This window comes from Homo sapiens, chromosome 12, assembly GCF_000001405.40.
Source record: "Homo sapiens chromosome 12, GRCh38.p14 Primary Assembly".
Taxonomy (NCBI): Eukaryota; Metazoa; Chordata; class Mammalia; order Primates; family Hominidae; genus Homo; species Homo sapiens.
In genome coordinates this window covers 89,660,760-89,677,534 of record NC_000012.12, presented here as the reverse complement: position 1 = coordinate 89,677,534, position 16,775 = coordinate 89,660,760, and the positions used below count along the sequence as shown (strand labels likewise).

The 16,775-nt window shown below is 35.8% G+C and overlaps 1 protein-coding gene across 45 annotated transcripts in view, besides 1 other annotated feature; it reads left to right on the top strand.

Moving 5' to 3' along the window:
• The window catches only part of ATP2B1 (ATPase plasma membrane Ca2+ transporting 1), a 121,318-nt gene that overhangs the window by 31,832 nt on the left and 72,711 nt on the right, over positions 1-16,775 (top strand). Inside the window, exons 1-4 of one of the 45 annotated variants that reach the window (XM_047428894.1) lie at positions 6,584-9,360; positions 9,871-9,932; positions 11,174-11,313; positions 14,444-14,546. The exons of 39 other annotated variants lie outside the window; for them this stretch is intronic. The gene's annotated coding sequence lies outside the window, so the exon portion shown is untranslated. Of the gene's footprint in view, positions 1-6,583; positions 11,314-14,443; positions 14,547-16,775 lie in introns of those variants that run through there. 5 more of the 45 variants (XM_047428897.1, XM_047428891.1, XM_047428896.1 and 2 more) reach the window with 5 other exon arrangements.
• Positions 15,761-15,810: an enhancer, noted in NCBI's record as "active region_6708". NCBI's record gives its function as "activates an Ori minimal core promoter by ATAC-STARR-seq in GM12878 lymphoblastoid cells {active_cell/tissue: GM12878}" and the evidence as "EXISTENCE:reporter gene assay evidence [ECO:0000049][PMID:35858748]".

Sequence of the window (16,775 nt, the reverse complement as noted above, 5' to 3'; positions counted from 1 at the left end):
GCATTTTCAGTTGTAAAATGAGTAAATCATAAGTTTCATTATAAGCTTGGTCTTGTGTTCTTCCATTTAAAGTGTGGTGAATCAGATATTGCCATTAGTGAATTAAGAGGAGAATATTTGAAGGACAAATTAATCTCAGTTGGAGACTATTCCTTAAAATGTTCATTAGTGTGCTAGAAAGATTTGGGAGAAGGTATAATCACTACCTCCCGCTTCCCAGCATACAATTGAAATTAAACTCCTGTGGATAAGTCACTCAAAACAGCTGGGCTCTGCCTAGGAGTATCTCAAAAGCTGGGCCCTAGATCCATGTAAAATACAAGGTGTTTAATATCCTACAGGGTCTGTATTCAGTATCATTTGGCAGTGACAAAGGAAGCTTCTGTCTGCTGATCCTTGTGTATCCCTGCACATATACAGAGTAGTTGTTAATCTTTAAAATTGCGAAATGCTTTTCAGGATAGCACTGTGATTGTTTTTGTTTGTTTCTTTGTTTGGTGGTGGTGGTGGTGGTGGTGGTGTTTATTTTTGAGAGAGAGTGACTTCTGAATTTTTTGGTCCATAATGCATACAAGTTCCTACAGAGTTTTCTTCTGAGGAAAGAATTTGATTTGCCACCGTGTAGAAAAGGCTCACTTTTTTTGTGTTCTATAATAATAACTAAAAAGTCTGCTTTATAAATTTGGGAATTATTCTTTTAACAATGAGAATTTAGAAGGATAAGTATCTTGTAAGACTGTGGAGCCAGAACGTTTTGTTTTGTATGTTTGGCACAGCTATAAAATGAATAAGCTGTATCTATTTGCAATTTTTATACTCAGTTAAGTAAAAGTGTCTTCCCTTAGGGAAGACTGCATTCCCCAAACTTTGCATACTACTTTATTATCCTGTTAAAGCAGATATTACCTACATAAACATCAATAGTAGAAATATTTCTTCTCATTTAAAAATTGTAATATAGCTGGGTGTGGTAGCTTATGCCTGTATTCCAAGCTTCTTGGGAATCCCAGCTACCAGGAGGTGGAGATCAGCCTGGGCAACGTAGTGAGACCCTGTCTCTACCTAATATACATATTATATATATGTGTAGCGAGAGAGGGAGAAAATATTTATTTTTCTAGACAATTATGACTTTAAGATGAGTGTTCTAAGGCATATGCAGTTGTATCTGATGCTGCACAAAGTCTGACAAAATACATCACCAGTAATTCTAGCAACCATCAATTGTGTAAACCTTGTCTGTAATTTCTTTTGCAATACCTTACATGATTTTGTACATCCAAGGTAAATTCAGAAACTATTTATTGTTGAGGGTAAATTGAACACCTTCGGTTTTAACCTTGTAATCTGTACTTCCCAGAGCCTCTCAGGAGCACCTACAATGGGAGAGAGGAGATTGGGAGGTTCTCTAAGATTGGTAGGTTCTCCATCACTGCACTTCTTTCCCTAACCTCCACCTCATCCAAACTCCTAGCTTGGATTTTGTGTTTTACATATCAGACATAATTAACCCCCTCCCCCAATGAGGAAACATTTGATGACAAATTTCTGAAGTTGTTTAAAAAAGAAATTCTTCCAGTCTAAATTGATTTGTTAAATATTCTTCAAGTAATGTTATTTTATGGGAATGTTTTATTATTTGTTTTTGAAATAATAATACTAAAAATAACTCCTGGCTCGTCAGGAAACTTTACAGTAAAAGTAGTATCTTTCCCCAGAAAGTTAACAGAACACCTATCACTGGAATTATAAATGTGTCTGGGGCAATCCAGAAAAGACTCCTCTCTTACCTGTTTTATCAGTCATGTGAAATATTTTGGTGGTCCTGAACTTGAGTTGTGGTGGTCACTTTTTTTTGGAATGTAGTAAAAGCACTTCATTGCTTCAATTGTAAGTTATATGACAGCAATATATATGGAGAGGGTGCAGATTTTATATTTCTGTGTTTTTCTAGCAGTGCCATTTATTCATTTAACAAATATATAAGTGCCTAACTTGTGTTCGACCGCATACTTAGGCTCATTGCTAATATAGCAGTAAGACATATTCTCAAAATTCAAAATAATAATTTTTAAAGATTGAGGAACTACAGTAATTCTGCTTTCAGAATACAGGTCGTCATCCATCAGAATGGATTAATTAACTTGTCTTGAATATTTTGATTCTGAAAGACGTAAGTTGACATTTATATAACATGATTCTCTCTATACTGTTAAATTTACGCATTATGTATGAAAAGTATAAGCTTATTGCTAGAACAAATGGAGGTTTTCTAGTTCATTTTTAATGAGCAATTCTTGGATTGTAAGCTAGACGGGATCTTTTCCCTTTTTCAGTCTTTGTGTTTCCTTAGTGTAATATGATGCCTTTCACATAATGGGCTTTATTAAATATTGATGATAATGAAAATTGTTGATCCCTAAAACACAGGACACTTCTGGATTAAAATTCCCAAGAATTTTGGTGACAGCTTCTTAATACATAATATCTCGAGTTTCTGAAATACCTGTAAGAGCTTTTCAGATTTTGGCTAATCTTAGCATGTGACAATTTTAAGTGTTCAAATATCTGATTCAAGCAAGTATACTTTATGTAACGGCTAGTGTTTTCAGTAATGTGAACAATATTTTACATTTACTTGGTAGTCTATTTTTTGTTTTTAATTCTATGCATTGCTTTTCCAAATAGATGATTGTCTCAGAGAGGTGTGGTTCCATGCCTCCATAACATACATGCAAAGGCAGAGTGCTGAGGAGCAAACCACACTGACTGGGTGTGAATCCCAGCTCTGCCCCTTAATAGTTGTGTGAACTTGGACAAATTTCTTAACCTGCCTCACTTCAGTTTCCTCTATTGTAAAATGGAAAGCTGATTAATACCAGTCTCATAGGAGCACAGTAAACCAAAAACGCTGTTGAAATGTTAGCTATTGTTACCATCATCATTAATAATCATCCACTTTATGTAAAACTGGCAGCATAGTGCTCTCTATATAGTAAGCATTCAAAATTGGGTGGTTTTTCATTTAGATTTGGCAGCAAGCCAGAGGTAGTACTTTGAGATGTGTTTGCTAGTATAGGTACAAGTTCAAAGAATTTGTTTCTAATACTGCCTTGTGACCAGACATTTCCCATTTACCCATCCTTATCTTTCCTTTCCTTTTTTTTTTTTTTTGCCAATTCTAAAAGGCTCTAATCAGACACTGCTTTGAACCCTGTGTGAACTTCATGCCTACTTTTTTCCTTTTTTACTGAACTATGAATAATAAAAGGTTAAAAAAAGAATCAACCAGTATATACTTACCACAATTGTAATTAAATTGTGTAATTAGTAGTTTGATTGATTGATTGATTGATACCTCCTTCAAAGGAATATAAGTTCCATGGAGACAGGAATTATTGTGTCTTGCTCACCACTGTGTCCCCAACACCTACCATGCAGATAAGCCTTGAATGAGGAAATACTATATGAATACCTGGTCTTTTCTTGCCCATGTCAGTAAGAGGTTAAACGACATGAAAGTCAGTCTTCACCTCTTCAGAAACATATAAATTAATTGAGGTATGCAGTATACAGGTATAAAGAGCTAGAAAAACCCAACTTGAAATGCTCGAATAAGAAACTAGCTGTAAACTGTTACTTGTTGTTTATCTCCTGATTATATTTTGGAGGGAATGATGACCCAGTGCTAGCTGTGACACCCCCTGTACCACTGGTTTTACTCATGTCATATTCATAACATTTCCTAATTACCTCATCAGCCCTCAATCATAGCTGATATGTATAAGACCACTGCTGCCCTTATCTTGGAGATGAAAATCCATACACTTCAAATTAAAATTTGGCATAGTAAAGAACATTTTGCAACTATCAGGTAGAAATGTTGGGTCCTTATGAAAGAGATAGTATGCAAGATGTCGTATTTGTTGTCTTTTAGTCCTCATGGCACCCTCACAGTGTTGATAGCAATGTATCTAATGTTTTATGGACAGGATTTGTAACTGTTATATACGACCAGATCTGAAATTTTGTGGTTTAGAGGGAATAGAAAGAAAAGATGAATGTGATAAGTTGGGAAGAAAAAGGAACTTAGCTACTTATTGGATATTGGGAAACAGAAATCAGAAGTGCTTTTATATTTAAGTGGTGGATACTTTGAAATAGGAAAGACGAGAGCGCATATATTATTCTGTGAAACAGTAGTTTGAAGTGATATTAATAGGTTCTCTGTAGGAAAAAGTAGGTAAAAACAAGTTCAGGAAATGTTGCATATAATATTTCCCTCTTGTAGGTTCACAAATATGCAAGGCTATGAAAAGTATCTGGCTGAAGAAAACCTATTTAACTGTACTGAACACAAAACACCTTTTTTCACAGCACAACTATTAACATACTATGAGATAGCTTCTCCAGCTCACCAGTTTGGAAGTCTAGTCTAGAGGAATTTGGAAGTTCTTAATAGGAATAGAGTTTTTGTGTTTGAGTTTGAGGATAGGAATAAGATTACTGTCAAGATTTTGGAGATGAAAGATAAATGAAGCTTAGAATTATAGTTTTGTAAATTCAGCTAAGTGGAAACAAGAGGCTAAACTTGGAAAGGAAAATACAAATATCCAGTTGTAATCCTGAATTGCATGTGGGTCTTTCAGACAAGGTACAGTATTTCAGTACCTCAAGTGTATACAGATAACCGCACTAGACTTAATATGATTCACAGTAGTTGGGTAATGAAGGGTACAGGTAGTGTTTATAAATATAAATCTATAGTCATAAGTTTGAGTGCCAGTGAGATGAAAATAGAAGACTCCAGACTCTACTGTGGTGGGTGTGGAGATAGTGGTTGGGTGGGAGAGAGGCAGAAAGTACATAGGGGAGCCAGTCAGAGACACAGAGAAGGAAGGGTCAGATAAATAGATATAAAATTAGAATTGTACACGGAAGGCAAGAGACGTGTACAAGGCAAGAGGATTTCGCGCGATAGGCAGCCATATGTGCTAGATAAGAAAGGAATAGAAAGGAATATACATACATCAGAGGGCCCAGTTTCTTTTTCTTCCTTTTTAAAATTGTTTTTATTTTTTGAGAGGGAGTCTCGTTCTGTCACCCATGCTGGAGTGCAGTAGCGTGATATCAGCTCACTGCAGCCTCTCCCTCCCAGATTCAAGCAATCCTTCTACCTCAGCCTCTTGTATAGCTGGGATTACAGGCACCCGCCACTATGCCCAGCTAATTTGGGTATTTTAATAGAGACGGGGTTTCACCATGTTGACCAGGCTGCCCTTGAACTCCTGGCCTCAGGTGATCTGCCTGCCTCAGCCTCCCAAAGTGCTGGGATTACAGGCGTGAGCCACTGCACCAGCCAGTTTCTCTATTTTACACATAAGAAAAATGAAACCAAGGGAGATAGAGCAATTTGCTTAGGATTAAGTGCTAGCACAGCAGAGTCAGAATTAGAATTTTGTCATTTCGTTGTTGCTTCTTTCTACTCTAGAGATTTCAAAAAGGAAGAGATTGCTAATGATGATACTGAGGTATCTCCTCTCTTGGGGTAAAGGAGACTTGCTGTCTCTAAAGGGACCTCTCAGGATAGAGATTGCATTTCTTAGTAGTTTACCATAGTAAAGAGTCTGAAACTTATAGACCCTGTAGCCTAGTATTTCTACAGTTACCTAATTTTTGTCTCAGGTTCATATTTACAGAGTTCATGAGCTTGATATAAAAATCAGAATGTCCATTAATTTACAGTAAAAAAAAAAAAAAAAACTGCCTTGGGAAACAGACTCTCAGGTCTTGGCTAGCACATTCTCTTCCCTGTAGATTTACCACATGGGAAACCACGTTATAATTAGGAGGTTGCTTAGTGAGTATGTAGGCAGAACAAGCGGTATGTTTGGAATGTGTGATGGACTCAGGCTTTTCTTAACTTCTCAAAGACCGGTTAGTTACCTCATCTGGCAATTGGGGGTAATAATATTAAATACTACATTGCATAGGGCATTGGGAAGATTAGGCGAAAGGATCCATGTAGAGTGTATACTGCAAATTGCTAAACACAGTGTCTGGCACAGGTGTCCTCCTCTTAACTCTGGTAAGTAGTCAACATTTTAATCCCTCAGTTAGGATACAAATACTACTGTAACCTCATTGTGAACGTAGAAAACTCTTCCTTCTAAATACTGCTTGAATGAGAAAGGCCAGATTTTCTTTTCCTCTTCTAATGATCGTCCTTAGAAGACGATGTTTGACCAACCCATTTCTGACTGTTAAATGCTTTTTTTCTCCCATTGAGTTAAACTGACTCATTCAGTCTACCTAATGTCAGATCTTGAGTCCTGGGCTCCATTTTGCTCTTTTTAGGTTGCCCATTTTGAATGTTCTGCTCAATCCATTTTATTAGGTTGAGCTCTATGAAATTGCTGATATTCTCCTGGTTTTCATCCACAAAAATGGCAGTGTCATATGGTTTAACCTGATATAATGTATAATGATTTTAAATTTTAATTCCTTTCAGATGATCCTAGCAGTTCCTATTCCAAGTCAGTTGATGAGGTCTGAGCCCCCCCACCCCTTTTTTTTTTTTTTAATGTATAAGGCCTGAACTGTTATACTTCTTTCCCTGTGATCAGGTTCCAAGAAGGTTCTTCTGTTGTATGTGGGCATGTGTCTTTTGTATAGTGTATCATTTTTCCTTTTCTCTTTACATTTAGATCAGACCAGCATTAACCAGGCGAATGATTACTTGTACTTCCTTAACTGATAGTTTACGTTTTGCATTTATTATTAATTTTTTTGATTGTTAAGCCAAAGTTTGCTGCTCAGTATACATTCTGTTTATTATATTCTAGGACATAAGCATTAATTTTAAAACCGTCACAGCTTTGGTAAGGATATTGTGGATTAGTACCAGGATTGGTAGATTTCTTCTGTTATACTAGAATTTCAGTGTAATGCTGATAGATCAAAGTCAGAATGCCTGTTGGATACTCTGTTCAATACTTGCACGACGGGATCTTTCATACTCCAAACCTCAGCATCTGGCAGTATACCCAGGTAATAAGCCTGCACATGTACTCACTGAATCTAAAATAAAAGTTGAAAAAAACAAACCAAAACAACAACAACTACAAAAAGTCAGAATGCGTAACAATTGAAAAAAAAAAAAATTCGGTTTTATTTTGTGCACATAACATCCATTGCATTTAGGAAATAATCTGTATTTATTTTTTATTTATTGTTAAACGTATTTATTATTTTTATTATTATTTAGAAAAGAATCTGTTGGATTGCTCCTCTGACAGATTAGCTCCTTTCCCCTCCTGTTTCTGGTTCTTGTCCATTTACAGTATGTCAGTTCTACATGATTATATCTATCTTTGGGTAGATACATTTCTGTGCTTTCCCCCTGAATATTGTGTCACAAAGAGTTTTCCAATTTGGCATTTAATTTCCTAGTCATTATTTTTAAATCTCTAAGAATCTTAAACAGTTAATCATCTGATTTTAATTGTGAGAAGAAAACTTTTTTCTCCCACTGGTGTGTCACTCTCCTTTTCTTCTTAAAGTTGACCATTCTGGTTTGGAGATCAGCAGTTATAAAATTATAGATACGTAATACCTCCCTCTTGCTTTTTAATTCTTAAATACTATTTGATGTCATATATAAGGACATCACATTCATATACTGAACTGAATATTTTTGTTTATTTAACAAATATATATTGTGTGCCTTCTATATCACCCAGCTAACTTAAGCATTATGTAATGTATGCAAAATAGGAGAGTTTATTAGAGACAAATTAAAAATATTACTATTAATTATCACCATAGTTATTACACTTAATAATATACACTATACAGTTCATGACTGTTTTTTATTAAGTGCCAGGCCCTAGCTCTAAGACATTGGGATGATTCTAAGATAGTTCATATGGTAATTCATTTAATCTGCTCAGAAATTATGAGATGGAGGTGATATCCATATTCTACAAACGAGGAAGCTGAAGCACTACGTAAGTTGTTCAGGGTCACGCAGCTAGTACGAGAAAGTGCTGGGAGGAAATCTAAGAAGCTGTGGACCTGTCATCATCCTAGTTATGATTTAGTGTCAGGTCAGGCATCCTCTTGAGTGCTGAAAAAAATCTTTGCTTCTTTGGGATTGACAGTCTTTTTTGCTGGCACCTGAGATGGGCCTTGCTAAAGGACATCTGTTTGTCTTCAATATCATTGCCACGTTCTGCAGTTCCGTTAAGTGACCCTGTGTTGAGCAGTTTCTGTGGGCAAGGTACTGTTGCTGGAGTGGTCACTAGGAGATACAGAAATGAACAAGACCATCCTGCCCTCAGCTTACAGTTTAATCAGGAAGAAAGATTAAACTGTAAGCTGAAAATGTACACAAGAAATGTACACAAGAAAATGCACAAAAGAAAATGCAGTACACAAGAAAATGCAGTACATACTGAGTGTGTGCACAAGAAAATGCAGTACATACTGAGTGTGTTGTAGAAGCTCAAAAAGATTATAGAAGCACAGATACATATTTTAATTCCATGCCATGGAGTCAGAGTAGAGAGCATTTTAATTGTTCCTTGATGAAGTTAATAGAAAGGCAAAGGGAATTGACTAGCTTTCATTAGGGAAAACTCTTTAGTATGACAGTAGGAGACTGTTACTTGGAACTTGTCCAAAGAGAGAAAAAAGGAGATGGGAAATCTAAGAGCTATATTGGAACAAATGGATGAGAGAAGGGATGCTGATTTGGGACATGACACCCATACTGAAGCTGTCAGTATCAGTACCTCCTCTGTTGGTCTACTACATGTATGATCTGTTGAAAACCTCGTGAGAAGGGAAATGTTTATAGGCTAGATGCTGTGCAGCTTCCATCACCATCTTGAAAGTAATCCCTCCTTATTATCTCCCTGGTTCATTCATTTTACCTTTTGCAGTTGGTAAGAATGGAAGCATCTTCTCAAAAGATGGTGCAAATCTCTCTTTAGGCTTATAAAATAATTTCAATTGCCTATATTAAAAAGTTACCAGAAAGAATTAGGAAGTCAGGAGCTTTTGAAAACTGTATGTTTTTTCTCCCTCAGTCCAAAAATAACCCACAGTTTTGGTTACATTTCTTTTTTATGTGTGTGCTGGTTATCTTATTTTAGTTTTCTGTTAGGAGAGCTTGAGGATTTTAATAGCATTAATCTTTTGCAATGTAAATTTTATTCTAATAAACAGTGAAGCAATCTGTTAGCCTCTGTAGGGGCTATAAAAGAACATGAGTTGTGGCTACTGCTCTGCCCTCAGGAAGCTTAAGTTGTATTTGAGAAGATGAAATTTTAAGAAAACCTCCGGAGGTACAAATAGGTAATGTGTTTTTATCACGGTAGCAGCTTTTTTCTGTGTTGCCTTCTTGTTTTCCTGTGTTCAGCTATATTAAACTATCATTCACACTGCAGTTTTTAGCCCCTTCCCCAGCTGTGCACTACTCTGCCTCAATTTAGGTGTATCCTAGACAGTGAAGCTCTTCTTGAAGTCACGTACCTGGCTAACACTTTGTGTTCATTGTATCTTTTGTGATGTTCTCTGTAGCACTTAATTGTTTGCTTGTTTTGGCTATTCAGATTCTTTTTTGGTTCCATATGAATTTTAGAATGATTTTTTCTAATTCTGTGAAAAATGGTGTTGGTAGTTTGATAGGAATAGCACCGAATCTGTAGATTGCTTTCAGCAGTATGGCCATTTTAACGATCCTGATTCTTCCAATCCATGAGCATGGAATGTTTTTCCATTTGTTTGTATCATCTGTGATTTCTTTTAGCAGTGTACAACACTTAATTTTACTTTCTAGTATGCTTGTCTTTCTCCCTCATTTAGACTGTAAACTCCTTGAAGACAGAGCCTTGGACATAGAGTTTACTCAGATACCTTTGGGACTGGTAAGAACTTTGGAGAACAACAACAGGTGTTGGGGGACAGTGATAAGTTTAATATTGGTGACTGCATTTGAAGTACAGCAAGATACTCAGATAGAAATGTCTGTTAACAGAACATGGCCTGGCACTTGATTAAGGTGGTAGATGTAGGCCATAATATGGTATGAGTTGCCAAGAGGCCTGTGGATAGATCCCTGGGTAATACCCTCATTTAAGATGTGGTAAAGATTTTAAAAGGGGGTAAATGTGAGCAGAGGAGGATGGGTTAGAGACCTGTGAGAATAAGTAAGTGATACAATGGACAGGAGGGAACAGTACTGTCAAGTGACACAGAATTAAGAGGAGGATGAGGACTGATAAAAAGCCTGAGATCATTAATAGATGATGGCTAATAGAAGCATTAATAGAAGATGGCTCTTCATAGAGAGCCATCTTAGTAGTGTGTGGACAGAAGAATGGATTCAGTTTGTCAGGGTCAAGGTGAGAGTGGGCCATTAGGAGGAAGCATTGTGAATAGATCTTTTTAAAAAGTGGGATAAAAGGAGGGGGAGAAAAAGAATAGCCTGATGGGTTATCAAAATCCAGGAGAGACATGTTTTTTGTTTTTTTTGTTTTTGTTTGTTTGTTTTTTGTGGCAGGGAGGTGGGTGGAGAAAAATGGTCTTTTATGTAGTAGAATGTATCTGAATATTGGCTAGTCTGAGGAAACCAAGAGAAAGGGGATGGAAGTGGTGGTAGCTTGCAGTGGCAATCAAGGAAGCAAGGTCTTGGAGCAGACTTGAGGACCCTGGAAAGAGCTGGAGTAATTTAAGAAGGTCTTGGAATTGAAAGAGGAACATGACAGGAAGTTAGAGATATGTCCGTGGATCATATATGACTGAGAAAAAATTCTGATGGAACTAAGAACTCAGTTTTTAAACTTTTACCAACATTGCTCAGCCAGATGGTATGTCTATTCAGGGGTAGCTAATTAACCAGATGGGTGGTAGGAGGATAAAGAGCAAGTGAGACATAAGAGCAAAACTGGAGTCGCTGACCATTGAGAAGTAAGCATTTTTAGGGAGGCAAGTGTTGATCAGAAAGGATCTTGACTACCTTTGAACTTGAAGGTCAGAATGTTTACACAAGACTCAGTAGAAGTGAAGAGAAATAAAGTGAGATAAGTTGTTCACTGGAGAGCAAATTTTGAAAATAGAACAATTCCAAGGGATGATAAGTTTACCTTGTGGCCCTCCGCTTGAATAGCAGGTAGAGAATACAGATCAAAGTCTTAGAATGAAGGTCAAGAGTGTGTGAAACCAGAGAGTTTGAAGGATCACCAACATGTTGTGATGGAGTGGGCTACAGTTCAACACATCCCTGTTGCCCATATTCTTTGCACTTTGGTGAGTTAACCATAAATAAATTCTTGTCTGATATCCTCTTAAAATAGAATTTACCTTATTTTCCAACCAGATTATTTAAATGTTTTGCAGAAGTGAGTATTGATTTACTGAACTGTTCTTTAATAATCACAGCTGGAAATTGCAAAAGATCATCAACTATGAAACTATATAAATAGAACGAGATAAAGAAATGGGAAAGTGCCTTCTTCCCTTAGTTCTCTATTCAGTTGGTGAAGAACTGTAATAAATCTTATTGAAATCTAGAGTTTTTAATTAAGAAAACAGAAAGCTCATGTTAAATTTACAGATAAGAGTTATGCCTCCCTCAATATTGCCAACTTTATTTTTGTGAGCTCTTTTCAGTGACATAATGAGCATCCTGTTTCCTTAAGCATGTAAGTGTAGGTTCTTGTGAATTGACAGGATAGAAGCTCTTAAGAACTGAGTAGGCCGACAGAGCAGCTGGTGTGACATTCAAGTGTTCATGTTGCCTTCTAGCTCCTGAACAGAAGGAAAAACACAGTTTTAATTTAGAAATCTCTTCTTTGACTATAGCTGAAAATTTCAACACCAGTGAGACTGGAAAATGATAGAACATTTGGTTCTCATATTTAACTGGAGATATAGTATGTTCTTATATTTGGTAAACTGCACAGGATTATATAAAATTAACTTTATTTTTTGAGCTTTTCAAAAGCTTATTTTACTAGGAAACTTACTGTAAAGATGAAAGGTTTCTAAAATGCCTAAATAGAACAATAGAATAGGAGAAAACAAAGTAGTTTATTTTCTGGGAGAGCAAAAGAAAGTAGGTACCTAAGATTCTCTGTTAAACTTTTAAAAATTTAATTTTTTTAGGTGTTTAAAGTAATTTAACATATGTTCAGAATGTATCAATATGAGTCTCCACATTTTTTGAATAAAAGAAATTATTTGCAGTGTTTATGTATATTTGTGTATTATAAGGCTTAAATGGAAAAATATTAGTATACTTGGTACTAAAAATCAAAACACACAAAAAAATCAACTCAAGTAATATTTTTAGAAAGTAGTCTGCTTTCAGTTATCCATGCACATCAAGAATAGCATAATAGGCCGGGTGTGGTGGCTCACGCCTGTACTCCCAGCACTTTGGGAGGCCGAGGCGGGCAGATCACGGAGTCAGGAGATCGAGACTATCCTGACCAACATGGTGAAACCCCATCTCTACTAAAAATACAAAAATTAGCTGGATATGGTGGTGCATGCCTGTAATCCCAGCTGAGGCATGAGAATCGCTTGAACCCAGGAGGCGGAGGTTGCAGTGAGCTGAGTGCACTGCACTCCAGCCTGGCAACAGAGCGAGACACTGTCTCAAAAAAAAAAAAAAAGAATAGCATAATAAAGAACCATAAGTAATTTGCTTATATTTGTTTGAGGAAACTTTTGGATCAAGGTGACAATCCAGCAGTTTGTTCCCTAGTCAAGGTTGAGGCTACACTTTCTGTCAGTAGTGGCTCTCCAGACCAGTAGCATTGGCATCACTGTTATCTGAGAAGTTGTTAGACAGTCTCATGAAGTGTTCGATCAACTGAGTGAGGCTCAGGAATCTGTGTTTTCACAGGTGATTGAGGTGATTCTGATGCATGCTGAAGTTTAAGAACCACTAATCTGTAGTGTGTTAACTTTTAAGTTTGTTCTGGTTTTGGTAAATTCAGAGGGATTGTTTTTGGTTTTGTAAGTATAACCTTGCAAAATTAGACCAACCTCCCAAGAGACAGCTATCATAAATGTTTGGGATAAGATGATACCAACTGACTTGACCGTAGACCAAAAATTTCTATAGTTCAAGATACCTGTGTTTGAGATCATTCACATTAAAATTTTATCATATACTCTGCTTAATTAAGTACTTTGTTGGCATGAATGAATAATCTGTACTGAAAATGACAGCTATCAAAAGCCAAAATAGTTATCTAACAGCCCCAGGGAGGGAGGTGAGTCACCTATTCTGCTTTGGGCTGGCATATTTCTTTATAGACTAAAGGGTGTGGGAAACAGGAGCTGTGCTTGGGCCTTTAGGATAAGAAAACCTGGGTGGTTTTTTCTTTTTTACACTTTCACTGAGCCAGACTGTTACATTGTGGTTTCATCATTTTAATTGAATTGTGGAATTCTGAAATATGAGAGAAACAAAATAAATAGGCCCTGTAAATGCACATGCAAATAAATTTTTATTATTATCAATAAACGAATCTCGTTTACTCTGACTAAAAACAGATGAAAGCAATTATAAAGGCTGCTGTGCCATCCAGCCCCTCCCTACTGACTGCTTTGACTTCTTCGAAAAAAAGGACAGTGGAAAGTGAAAACAAGCAGCTAGAGATGACAGTGTAGTGAGAATAAGAGTCAGACATCAGAGAAATGAAGGCAGAAGAACATTTCAATAGGGAGTGGTTAACAGTAGCAAAGGTTGCTAGTAGGTTAGATTAGGGCTAAATGTGTCCATTAGATTTAAGAACAGGATCAATGGTCACCTGGAAGAGTAGTTTCAACGCAGCATAAAAGAGGAAGCTAGATTGTCATGGGTTGATTTATGAGTGGGAGATAGTGTAGAAACAGCAAATTTTGGAGCAGATGTTAGTTAGATGTGGAGTTAAGTGTTTTTTTTACCAAATGGTATTTACTGGGTAAGATTGTATTCATTATTATTTAGACCTTGCCAACTTTATTACCATGTTGATTTGGCAGATTTTTATTTAGCATGGGTAACCCTAACAAATTATTTTTCAAATAAATGTATTGTTTCTTTCAGGCTGTATGAAATATTATAATTCAGTATTATTTCTTTGCATACCCTCAAGAATCTAAGACCCTGGTTAAAAAACTTTGCCATGTAGCAGGCGTGTAATTCCTTTTAAAATCTGAAATATCCTTTAACTTATTCTGTTGTCTAAAAGGATTTAAAGGAAAGCTATAATATATCTGGCATACCAAGATGGTTTGAAAACTCCTTGAAAGCTGTGACTTTCTCTTAACTCATCTAACACCTAACATATTCTTTTAAACAGTGTTAGGAAGTTTTGTTTAGCTCTGCTATTTAAATTGTGGTTGCTTCCATTGTAAAATCTGTTTTTCAAATTTATTTTAGCTTATGGTTCAAGAGTACCTACTATGTTCCAGACAGTGCTGGGGTTAAAAATGAATGGCACAGATTCTCCCATGAGTTACAGTTCACTGGGAAGGACAGAGAGGTAAACAAATCATTGCAGCTGTGTGATAAAGGCTATAATAGAAGAACAAATTAATGCCTTCCTTATTCTAATCTAGTTGTTTCCCACCCTGAGAGATTTGCTAAAGTGTTCATGCCAAGTTTATAACTGACAGCAGCTGTAACTTGCCCTTTAAAGTACTGTACTTAGTCTCTGCCTCTGGAAGAGTCTACTAGATAAGTAAGTTACTTAGGGGAGTAGGACTAATTTTAGTCAACACAGACACAGGGATGGTATTTAGGAATCCTTTGAGACTAATAAATCAGGCATTTTAGATAATGCTTATTTTCTGCTTTATCAGCTCTATAAAACTAAAATCCTTTGGTGAATTTACTCTTGTTTATATGTTATTCTTTACTCATCTAATATAAATTACTTTTCTAAACAAGCAGTATAGGTTTAATGATCTTTTATGTGAGTGTGTATGTTTTCTTTAAGCCCCTTAAGAAGTGAAAAATGTGACTTGAGTAAATTTAAATTTGAGTCATTCCTTGATTTCTTTAAAGCATTTTAATGAAATAATTTGAATGTACCAAAACTTTGTAGAATAAACTCTTTACCATTCTTAATCTTGTAGTATCTGTTTGATATGTATAATAATAGACCATCTGCTCTTTTCACTATGAGAGTGAGATATTACATGCAAGCACTTATATTTAAGTTTACAGTAAATTATCATGGTTGAAGGACTTCAGATTTTTAGGGTGTGAATCGGGTAAAAGGTTATTGTCTTTCTGCAGAAAGTGACTATGTAAGAAGGTTGAAAGATCATAGTCTTTTTGGAAGACTGAGTAATAATAAAACTCCAGTCTCGTGTTAAAAAAAAAAAAAAAGAAAGAAAGATCATAGTCTCTCTTGATAAGATATGGAGATCAAAGATGGATAAAGCATGGTTTGTTGCCTTTAAATAACTTTTCAGTGTAATGGGCCATAAATTTAGGCTCAATTATGTGGTATACTATCCAAACCTTCTATAGGACATTTGCAGTGCTAAGTTTCAGCTTGTCCACACTGATTGAGAATCACTGCTGATATCTAAGAGGACTGGGTGGGGTAGGGCTGGATTTTTAAACTCACGAGGTAGCTGTCACTGTCAATAAAATGCCAATAGCAACCACAGTGAGAAACAGCTATGTAGGCTAGCTCTCGCTCTTGGTGTAACTATGTCTGTGTGCAAAGGAAGTGGAATTGATTTTGTGTTACAGAAAAAAACACACACAAAGAAAAAAACACACAATGAAAATGGAGATCTCTTGAGTTCTTTTTTGAAAGCCCGTAGTCAAAAATTATTTTTTAGTTCTTTGTTAGTCAAATGGTGCATCTAATGGTCAGGGTGTCAGTACCAGTTTCGAAGTACAGTGCCAGTTATTTCCCTGATGGTAGTAGCCTCCTTAAAACTTGGATATTGTTTATCCTGCGATTTAAATTTCAGCTATTTACTCTCATTTTTAATGATTTTGTGAGTATTTAATACTTGCTTTATTTTATAAGTATCTTTATCCATTTTGGAAGTAGACAATTATGAGTGTTTGGTTTTAATGGCCATAAAATGAACTATTGGATTTGATCTCCAACATCCCTTTAGCTGTTAAATTCTAGAATTCTTTGCTTTGTAACCATGATTTAACAGAAAAGTCTTTTTAAAATAGTGTTTTATTTTGATTTAGTAACTTTTATAAAAAGTAATACTTGCTTAATCACTCCAAAAAATCAGTAATTACTCTGATTAAGGTATCATATTAGTATATTTGGGTCCGGGGAATAAGCTCTAATTGTGTACAGTTATGTCAAAGTTGATATTAATTTATGAGATGGTACACATTGACTTCTAAACACCAAAGAACTAAAAATTTGAAACTTAAAACTTTGTATTCTCATTAAATGAATGAAAATAAAGTGTCTTTATCTTTAGAAGATTTTTTTTTAAACCCTAAATCAATAATTTGTGCTCATATAGAACCAGTCATGGATTAAGACCCTTTGTAAATACTAGTTTTGGATTTAAAAATTTTCTGAGACATGTATTAAAACTAATCAAAATTTGACTTAACATTTAAATTATTTCAGTATATCAAATCATATACTGATTCTCTTTTCCTCTTGTTTTAAAAATCTTATTAAACCTTCCATATCTGAAATGGTTTGAGGTCTTCCTCATCTGGGGTGGGAGAAGGCTATTCTCTGCAGAATGGATCTGCAAATATTCTTAAA